This window comes from Homo sapiens, chromosome 4 (assembly GCF_000001405.40).
Source record: "Homo sapiens chromosome 4, GRCh38.p14 Primary Assembly".
Classification (NCBI taxonomy): Eukaryota; Metazoa; Chordata; class Mammalia; order Primates; family Hominidae; genus Homo; species Homo sapiens.
Window position 1 is genome coordinate 155,566,058 of NC_000004.12, and position 10,897 is coordinate 155,576,954.

Consider the following 10,897-nt stretch of genomic DNA (forward strand, 5'->3'; position numbering starts at 1 on the left):
TCAAAAAGTCAGGAAAACATTATGTTATGTCCAGAAAATGATTACATTCATCCATAAAGAGAAGTAAGCATAATAATAATTATGTCCTTATTAAAAACTCAAAGAATATATGTTTCTGAGTAAAGAATAGACAATGAAAACAAAGTTCACTAATGCCAGAATATTGAGGAAGACAGCCCCTGGAGGAGGGAGGAGACTTTGTAATATAACTATAATTTTCCTAAATTAGGTGGTGCAAGTATGAAGGAATAATATTTCAAATTATGGCTTTTGGAGACTCTCTAGTTTCAGGGTGGGAAGACACCAAGTGCAGTCTTGGCTTTTATTTCTGTCTGAAAGGCAAATCTCACTGGTGGTTCTTTTATGCGCATGACAAGAGCAGTCAATTTTTTCTTCTAAGTTTCATGCCCCTGAGCCAGTATTGTACTGCAGCTGGACTGCATTAACTTAATAGAGCCAATTGTGCTGATGTTTCCAGCTCCCAGTTCAATGAGTCACATAGGTGACTTGAAATCAGCCAAAATAGGAGTATTTACACAATGGAAATTGGTCAACACTCAAACCAGACCTCCCCATCAGAGCCCATTGCAAAAGATTTACCAACACAGTACTGCCTTGATCCCATGAACCCTGACACTCATCTACCACAGCTCACTCTATCTTCCCACACAGCCCCATCTCCTGAGTGATGCTGCATGCATAGCGAATGAGACATTACAACTTTCTTTCAGACTCCCAGCCATGGCCCCAGCCACACTCCCCACCCACAGCCCCAGCCCCATTCGCCACCCACTTTAATAGTTCCCATATTGCAATTATAGTAAAAAGAATTGGATAAAGAAATTGGTATTGGGTAGAAATTACAGATAGATAATAGTAATAGAGTGATTAGGTCCACTGGTAGGTACATTAAAGGGCTAGTAAATACAGATTGAACGGAATTGAATAGCTTTCCTCGTCTGGTCTGGTCAATGCACATTTTTTTCCAGGGTATGAGACATAGTCAAAGTTGTCCAATAGTATCAAATAGCTCCAACGTTTCAAAGGTTTCAACTTATCTTCAGTCAAATTACTTCACTGTACACAAAAAACATAAGGCAGAAAATGGCAGGTTTTATAATCCTCATCAAATAAATGTTTCAGAGGAAGCATAGAAAGAATAAATTCTTTGCTAAAATCATACAGTGAGCCCAACTTAATTATAAATAAAAATTATCCCTTCTTAAATGTTTTACAAGCAATCACTCTTTCAATATAAGATTATAGAGTAGAAAAACATGATCGCTGTGTAACAGCTACTGATACTTTGAAAATGCAGTAAATATCTTATTCTCTTGAGTATGTCATCTTCAAACACCACTTTGAGATAAAAGTGAACAAGATTAAAAACTCAAATTTGAACATTGTTATCCATGTTGAAAATAGTGACCATCTGAAAACACATAATTGTAAGATAGTCTTAGGAATTCTCATTGTGACAAACACTTTCCTATAACAATAATTCTTTATGTTTGTAACTTTTAGATTTGTATTCCCATTTTATTTTCACAACACTCCTTGGCAGCAATGAGTAGTATCCCATTTAACATATTACTACCATTTAACTAACGCTTAGAGACATTGTCAGTTGCTCAAAATCACAGGAAGTTTAGTTAATTAACTTCTAATATACTTTTTATTCTGTATTGTCATTGCATGGAAGGACAAAAATAACTCTGATACGGATATTTTGTTTTAATATGACAATTATAACCTTAATTTTTGTAACAATTACTTTTGGATATTTTAAAATGCAAGCTATTGCTATTATTATTATTTAACCACCATTGAGTGCTTACTGTGTGACAGACGTTGTGCTAGGCATTTTACCTACAGAAACTCCTTCGACATTCACAAGGATATTATAATCACCCATTTTATGTAAATGAACTGAAACTTGAAGATGATAAATAATTTTTTTCAAGATCATAATGGTAGGTGGGGATTTGAAGCATGGTACTTGTTCAACATCCTGTGAATTTCATTAGTGTGTTACTATTGCTTCACCTACTACTTGGTGGTTGACCTACTCAACTCCCTTCACAGAGTTTTCTTCATAAATTAGTTTAAATGCATTTTATTTTATGCATTTAAATATCCATAAAACAATTCATGTATCATAGTTATTAACTTTAATAATATCACTTTCTTTATGGATTCTCTCATTTATATATTCAGTTAACATTTATCCAATAAAAAAAAAAGGCAATGTTCAGTTATTGTAAAGTGCTTTCACTCTTGAGGTCGGACTCTGCTGAGCCTAAATCCTAACCTTACTTGTTGGGATAAGTTACTGATGCTGTCTTTGTGTCCATTTCCTGCTCTGGAAAATGGGAATAAAATGGCATCCCCTATTGATTTTTGTGTGATAATTAAGCAAATGCATGAGTACTAGGTAATGAGAATAACGCTTCTCATAGAGTGTTAGTGCTTATTAACAATTAGTGTATGTATCACTATATACAAATAATGTTAAATTACTCCGAAACTTTAAGAAGTTAAACTCTGGTCTTAACACTTCATTCACAAACCCATGCTTCATAAATGATCATGAAAAGATCTAGCCTTCTAATTTCCTGTTAATTTAGAAGAAAATATTATATAGTGAAGAGTTTAAGTTAGATTGAACATTAGCTCTTCACTGCAAATTTAATAGCATCTCTATGAGCTTCCATTTTCTATTTTATAAAATGAGGCTATTAATATCTAGCTCACAGATTTGCCTAGAGGATGCCTTCTCAACCTTTTACGAGTTAGAACATGGGAAGGAAATAGTCCTGTTTGAGTAGCTCACAAGATGAAGAGGCACGGCTGCTTCAACCTCAGGCCCTTCTGGCTCTCACTATGTTGACTATCCTAAAACCCATTCCCAGCACCCTGTGGAGAACCTCTGGTTCAGGGAGATTCACACAGAGTCAATGGATGCCAGAGTGCCTGGCACACAGAAGACATCATGTTAGTTCCACTTGGTTAGCTCAAATTAACGAGACTTGGCCAGGCGTGGTGGCTCATGCCTGAAATCCCAGCACTTTGGGAGGCTGAGGCAGGTAAATCACAAGGTCAGGAATTCAAGACCAGCCTGGCCAATATGGTGAAACCCTGTCTCTACTAAAAATACAAAAATTAGCCAGACATAGTAGCAAGTGCCTGTAGTCCCAGCTACTCGGGAGGCTGAGGCAGGAGAATCACTTGAACCCAGGAGGCGGAAGTTGCAGTGAGCCAAGATTGTGCCACTGCACTCCAGCCTGGGCGACAGAGTGAAATTCCATCTCAATAAAAAAAGTGATAATAATGATAATGAGACTTTACTGTATTTGGTGAAAACTCATGAATAATACAGAGCCCAAATGATGTCTGCATGTATAATTTTTGTCACTGCTTCATTCTAGCTTCACTCTTTATCTCACTCCTCATGATTCAGCTCTTATTTTCTGGGGGCTGGGAAATTTGGTTATAAAGTATTGGAAATTATGTCACAGATGTTAACAAAGCTAGGAGTGGAGTGCTCTTTTTAGAAAAATAGCAGAAGCCAGCCAGGTGCAGTGGCTCATGCCTGTAATCCCAGCACTATAGTAGGCCCAGGGGAGTGGATCATTTGAGGCCAGGAGTTTGAGACCAGCCTGACCAATATGGCGAAACCCCGCCTCTACTAAAAATACAAAAATTATTAGCCAGGCATGGTTGCACACACCTGGGGTCCCAGCTACTCAGGGGCCTGAGGCATAAGAATTGCTTGAACCCGGGAGGCAGAGGTCACAGTGAGCCAAGATTGTGCCACTGCACTCCAGCCTGGGTGACAGAGTGAGACTGAAAAAAAAAAGAAAGAAAAAAAGAAAAAGAAAAAGGGGAAGGGAAGGGAAGGGAAGGGAAGGGAAGGGAAGGGAAGGGAAGGGAAGGGAAGGGAAGTAGCTGAAGCCTTTAAGAAGTGGGCAGCATAAGAAACCAAGAAAACTGATTTATTATCTTCCATCATTGTTTAGAAATGTCCTTCTGTAGCTGGTTCTTCTCTCATACGTGGGCTCCATATATTTTCTGGACATTTTCACAGTGAAAAGACCTTCAGCCATGTTTTTCTCCAAAACAAACTCCATTTAGTAATAAGTCCAATGTACCAATCTCATCTCTGAATGTGATTAACAACTTGGCCCTGCTCCTGCAGGAAGCCTGCAGTGGAAAGGGACTGTGGCGGTCTTCTCCTTTGACTCATCCCAATACTGGCATTTTCTCTCTTGGAACATTTATAGAGATTCTTAGGAGACGTCACCCCTGAATCCCATGATTAAGAATGGAACTTTAATTTCCAGCTGACCAGTTACGACTTCCCTCTCAGTCCCTGTGCATCTAATTTAATTTTGACCATTTCTGGCATCTTTCTTATGAAGTCTTTCTGCTCCTCCCTGTGTCCCTTCCACACAAAGTCTAAAACAACACCTCCATCCTTCTCAAACATGGCCTGTAGGTACATAGAAAACACACCTTAGTACTGTAGTCAGAGGCAGGGCAGTTTCTCTCAAAAACATAACCCCAACTCTGCTATAGAAACTCACTACAAGCAGCTCTCACTATAGAGATTTCATAGGTGATGCCATCAGTTCACTTTGTCCTTCAAATGCAGGGGCACATAGTAAATTTGTTTAGTAGTCAGTCGAAGCCTCCTTGCTGGTCTTAAAGTGAACACAACTCTATTCCTTCACTGTGGCTGGAGGTGGGGAGGGAGGATGGACACCAAGCACTAATCTCTCAAAAGGAAGCCTCAGCAATCTTCAACTAGCCCAGCGACTTCCATTTCACACCCTTCTTACTCTCAGTGAGTGCCTAAGTGTTAAAAAGTAGGTTTGGGAACCCCTTTTTGCATGTTCTGCATGGTTGGGGTGACTTGTACCTTACTGGGAAACATGAAGCTGGTTTCTATAATCTTAATCCACTACTAAGACAAATCTGAATTATTGGTTATATTTTAAATAATTTAATTGTTTGGATATGTGAGTCCATGCAGGTGAAATATAACTGTCTTAAAATCACGAAAATTTCCTTTTTAAAAAATTATGTTTCATACAGAAACTCTCCCAGGGATGATACTATAATTATGGATAAATTTCTCAATAGATTAAATCATCAGCCAATAGACTTAAATTATCTCACAGAACATAATTACATTCTAGATGATGTGAAATTGGAGATAATGCCTATAATTTTAGTATGTGAGACTGGAATTCAAGGCAACTCTGATGGGATATTAGAGGCCAGATAAATAATTACTCCTGGTAGTCTAATCCTGGGAGGCTTTCCAGGTTTCAACTGATTATGCTGCAACCAGGACATCCTGGTGCCTTTGGTTGCCCAGCAACCATTATCCTCCTATTTTTTTTTTTCCTCTTGTAGTGGTGCAGAACACAATGTCAATTGAAGACTGATAGATAAGAAAGTCAATTTTATCATATCAGCTGGGGCTTGTTTGGCATGGGCACATTCTGAGCTTTAGTGTCAGACAAATCCAAATTCAAATACTGCCCTTGAAAAAGATAATTAACCTCTCTGAGTTTGCTTTAAAACTGAATATTACATGTCAGTCACATCTCCAAGTCTTTTAAATGGAACTGTCCCACTCACAGTCCACTGCTCTGGAAGGCAGCAGTTAGAAATTCTTTATCTGGAGACAGCCACTCATCTTACAGAGGCCAGTTGGCCTGTGCTCCAGTGAAAGTTTTACCAGGAATCCAACGGGGTGTTCTGGAAAGCCCTCTGCTAAAGGAAGGTGATGGTAATTAGCCAATTTATGGATTCATTTTTTCATTCACAAAATAGTTACAGTGTGCCTCTTATATGTTCTATAACTTGTACCAGGCACTAAGGATTCAACAGTGAAGATGAACAGTATTACTGCCCTCATGAACATATAGTCTAATGGGTGTGATGAACAATACACAAATAAACATGAAATAAAATATTTACAGGCTGTGATTATTTCTATGAGAGAAACAGAGAGTGGTGGAGGTGGTTAGATAGAAGCTATTAAGAGACCTAAATTTCGTTACAGAAGTTTCTCTTGAAGAAGGAACATTTAAGCTGAAACCCTAAGGAGCCACCCAAGAAGACTTAAGTTGAGAAAGGGGAAAGCAAGCAAAATATCAGAAGACTGAGAATGGGGCCAGAAGTAAGGCGAAGAGTGAGGCAGCAGAAGACTAGCAGGTGAGAATCATCCTGACAAGGCAGGGCCCGTGGCCGTGGGTTAGGCAGTTGGATTGCATTCCAGGAGTTCTTCCTGAAAATTGGGGTTGGAGCACACACAGAGGACTGGACACTCTGGTGTAGTCACAGATCTGATGACCTTCTAGTTCTGGTTTCAGTCTCGTTTTTCCCTAACTGAAGTGTATGGTTGTTTTGCTCTCAGAATTACCTAAGTATCGCCAACAAAGTACTGTAGCAAGGATTAAATGAAGTAATGCTGGAGTGGGGCCAAGATGGCTGACTAGAAGCAGCAGCAATCTGAGACTCCTATCAAAAAGAACCATAACAGGCTGGGCGCGGTGGCTCACGCCTGTAATCCCACTTTGGGAGGCTGAGGTGGATGGATCACTTGAGTTCAGGAGTTCGAGCCCAGCCTGAACAACATGGTGTAACCGTGTCTCTACTCGAAATACAAAAATTAGCTGGGCGTGGTGGCGAGCGCCTGTAGTCCCAGCTACTTGGGAGGCTGAGACAGGAGAATTGCTTGTACCTGGGAGGTGGAGGTTGCAGTGAGCGGAGATTGCACCACTGCACTCTAGTCTGGGTGACAGGGAAAGACTTTGTCTCAAAAAACAAACAAAAATCATAACAGCGTGTGAATCCTGCACAGGCAACTGAGGTATCCAGGTTCTGTCAGAACTGACTAGGCAGCTGGCGTGACCCACAGAGGGGAAGGAAGAGCAGTGTGGGGAAGGAAGAGTAGTGTGGGGAAGGAAGAGCAGTGTGGTGCAGTAGCCCACCTAAGAGCCACACGGGGCAGGGGATCCCTCAACCCCAGCCAAGGGAGGCGGTGAGTGAGGGTGCTACCCACCCTGGGAATACGTGCTTTTTCCACAGAACTGTGCACCCCACGGATTGGCAGATCCCACTCGTGACCCAATGCCACTGGGGCCTAGTGTCCCAATCACAGAGCACACAGATTCTCAACAGCCACTAAGTTAGAATCTGCTTAAGCCTGCCCAGCTCCCCGGGGATGAGGGGAGACAAGCACCACAGCTGAGGTTGCCTACTGTCTAAGCCATTTGAGCTCCTTATGGGAGGGGCGACAGCCAACACTGGGACTGATAGCTGCCTAACACACTAAGCTCCCAGGCCAGGGGAATGGTAGCAGCCATCTCTATAGCTCCAGGCTACAAAGATAATAAAATACATAGGAATACACCTAACAAGGGGCATGAAGGATCTCTTCAAGGAGAAATACAAACCACTGCTCAAGGAAATAAAAGAGTACACATACAAATGGAAAAACATTCCATGCTCATGGATAGGAAGAATCAACATTGTGAAAATAGCCATATTGCCCAAAGTAATTTGTAGATTCAATGCTATTCCCATCAAACTACCATTGACATTCTTCACAGAATTAGAAAAAACTACTTTAAAAATCATATGGAACCAAAAAGAGCCTGTATAGCCAAGACAATCCTAAGCAAAAAGAACAAAGCTGAAGGCATCATGCTACCCGACTTCAAACTATGCTACAAGGCTACAGTAACCAAAACAGCATGGTACTGGTACCAAAACAGTCACACAGACCAATGGAACAGAACAGAGACCTCAGAAATAACACCACACATCTACAACATCTGATCTTTGACAAACCTGACAAAAACAAGCAATGGTGAAAGTATTCCCTATTTAATGATGCTGAGAAAACTGGCTAGCCATATGGAGAAAAATGAAACTGGATGCTTCCTTACACCTTATTCAAAAATTAACTAGAGATGGATTAAAGAATTAAATGTAAAATCCAAAAACCATAAAAACCTGGGAAGAAAACCTAGGCAATACCATTCAGGACATAGGCATGGGCAAAGACTTCATGACGAAAACTCCAAAAGCAATTACTACAAAAGCCAAGCTGGCAAATGGGCTCTAATTAAACTAAAGAGCTTCTGCACAGCAGGAGAAACTATCATTAGAGTGAACAGGCAACCTACAGAATGGGAGAAAAATTTTGCAATCTACCCATCTGACAAAGGTCTAATAACCAGAATGTATAAGAAACATAAACAAATTTACAAGAAAAAAACAACCCCATCAAAAACTGAGCAAAGGATATGAACAAACACTTCTCAAAAGAAGACATTTATGCAACCAACAAACATACACTGATATGGTGAGAATGTAAATTAATTCAACCATTGTGGAAGACAGTGTGGCGATTCCTCAAGGATCTAGAACCAGAAATACCAGTTGACCCAGCAATCCCATTACTGGTGTATACTCAAAGGAATATAAATCTTTCTACTATAAAGACACATGCACACAAGTTTATTGCAGCACTATTTACAATAGCAAAGACATGGAACCAACCCAAATGCCCATCAATGATAAACTGGATAAAGAAAATGTGGCACATATACACCATGGAATACTATGCAGCCATAAAAAGAAATAAGATCATGTCCTTTCCAGGGACATGAATAAAGCTGGAAGCCATCATCCTCAGCAAAGTAACTCAGGAACAAAAAAGCAAACACCGCATGTTCTCACTCATAAGTGGAAGTTGAACAATGAGAACACATGGACACAGGGATGGGAACAACACACACTGGGGACAGTCTGGGGGCTGGAGGCGAGGGGAGGGACAGCATCAGGACAAATAGCTGATGCATGCGGGGCTTAAAACCTAGATGACAGGTTAATAGGCGCAGCAAACCACCATGGCACATATAAACCTACGCAACAAATCTACACGTTCTGCACTTGTATCCCAGAACTTAAGGTAAAATAAAAATAAAAATAAATAATGCCAATAAACCTCTAACACAGGGATGGGCACATATTTGGCATTATAGCAACTATTGTTATTCACTTCCTTATCATTGTAAATTATTATGATTGTTGTGTTTCATATCTCTGATATCCTCATTTTTCTGCTGTTATGGCCATATATCAAAAAGGAGGGATGAGAATTACAGAGCATCTGAAGTGGGACAAAAGTGACAAAGTGACTACAGATATCCAGAGTATTGCATTTTTTCCTAATGCTATCTTTTGTTCTTTGTCTCCTTAGAGGACATAAGACATGGAAATGTCTTTAAATTACATCAAAAGAAATTCCATATATATTAGTAGGCTTCTTAATTAATACACACTAATCAATACATGCAAGAAGACAAAAAGTAGCACTTTCCCCAGTTGAAGGATACTATAGACCCATGTGACTAAGTTAACCATGGGATTAAGTTTAAATACCATCATCTGTTTTATGTGCTTAATTAGATATTGACCAATAAAATAAGGTTTTTTTGGAAACTACTGCCCATACAATACACTAAGGTTTTTCTCATTAATTATTTGTATGGGATCCATTGAACAGTATTTTTTATTTGGAATCAGCAGGATGATTCAAAGACCATCTGTAATCTTAAGCCACTTATTTAAATTCTCTGAGGTCCTATTTTCACATGTATAAAATGAATTACATACAATTGCTTTACATTCTATAAAAGATTGCTATGAAAATCAAATAACAAAATATAAATTACAGTGGTTTATAAAAAATAATATATTTTTTCATTAAAACCAATAAGATTTTTGTATTCATCTATTTTCACTATGAATTATGTTTTCTCTTTGTTTTATACTTTATTCTCATAGACATATTTTAAAAATTGTAATGTTTGTATTACTCTGTTGTTCCCAGAACTTTGGTGATCAAGAAGAAATGAAAGTCTCCCCCTCCTAGGGACTTGATCTCCTCCACAGAAGGACCTTTCATGGTGTGTAATCCCTCATGAGCCCCTGTTCTTTCTCATCTCAATACATTGTGTTTGCAGGACTCCTCTCTCACCTCCTGAATGGGACCCCTCGAGGGCAGTGAAGGTTTCTTATCTTCTGCTGTATTCCAAACACCCAGCATAGGGCTTGACACATTTGTCTTTTGTTGTTGTTGTTGCTCTCTTGTTATTGTCATTTTGTATAAATAAACCAAAGGAAAACCAAGGTTTGATGTTTTCTTTCATATCTGAGAATGTGTCTTTCACCTTGGCTTGCATTTCTTTGGTAGGAGTTTACCCTTCTTCCTCTCATGCTCATCACTTCAATCTTAAAAATTCTCCATGTCTACTAAATATATATGATAAATAAAGAGTCTCCATCGCTTTTGACTATTATAAATATCTGTGCAGTAAGTTGTTATCAAATAGCAATGCAAGCACAAGAAAATCTGAGTATCTTCTTTCTGCCCCAAATGCTTTTGTTAGTCTTTCTTCCTTCACTTAACTCATTTCATTTAAAAAAAAATTCTCTAAGTACCAAATTTTTGCCAAGCATTGGGCTGTATAGCCAAAACTGAACAAAGCAGGCCCAGTCCCAGTTCTCATTGAACGTATAGAATATATAGAAAACAGATATTTCACAATTAATTATCCTCAAACGGCATACGTCTTATCACATGAAGTTCAGGGTACTATGGAGCATATATCAGGCACGTATCAGAAGGCTCTAAACTGCTCTAGGATCAAAGAAGTCCTCACTGAGACATTAACACTTAAGCTGAGATCTGAGGAACAAGAGTTCATGTATTGAGAGGAGTAAGGAATGAAGGAGGGGCAGGGGAAGTGTGAAGGACTGATTCAGGGCAAGGAATTATTTTAGGATAATTAATATCTGCTTTCTATTA

At 39.2% G+C, this 10,897-nt stretch overlaps 1 annotated feature.

Moving 5' to 3' along the window:
- Positions 5,240-5,534: a silencer, noted in NCBI's record as "tiled region #7198; HepG2 Repressive non-DNase unmatched - State 24:Quies". NCBI's record gives its function as "represses a minimal TATA promoter and a strong SV40 promoter by Sharpr-MPRA in HepG2 cells {active_cell/tissue: HepG2}" and the evidence as "EXISTENCE:reporter gene assay evidence [ECO:0000049][PMID:27701403]".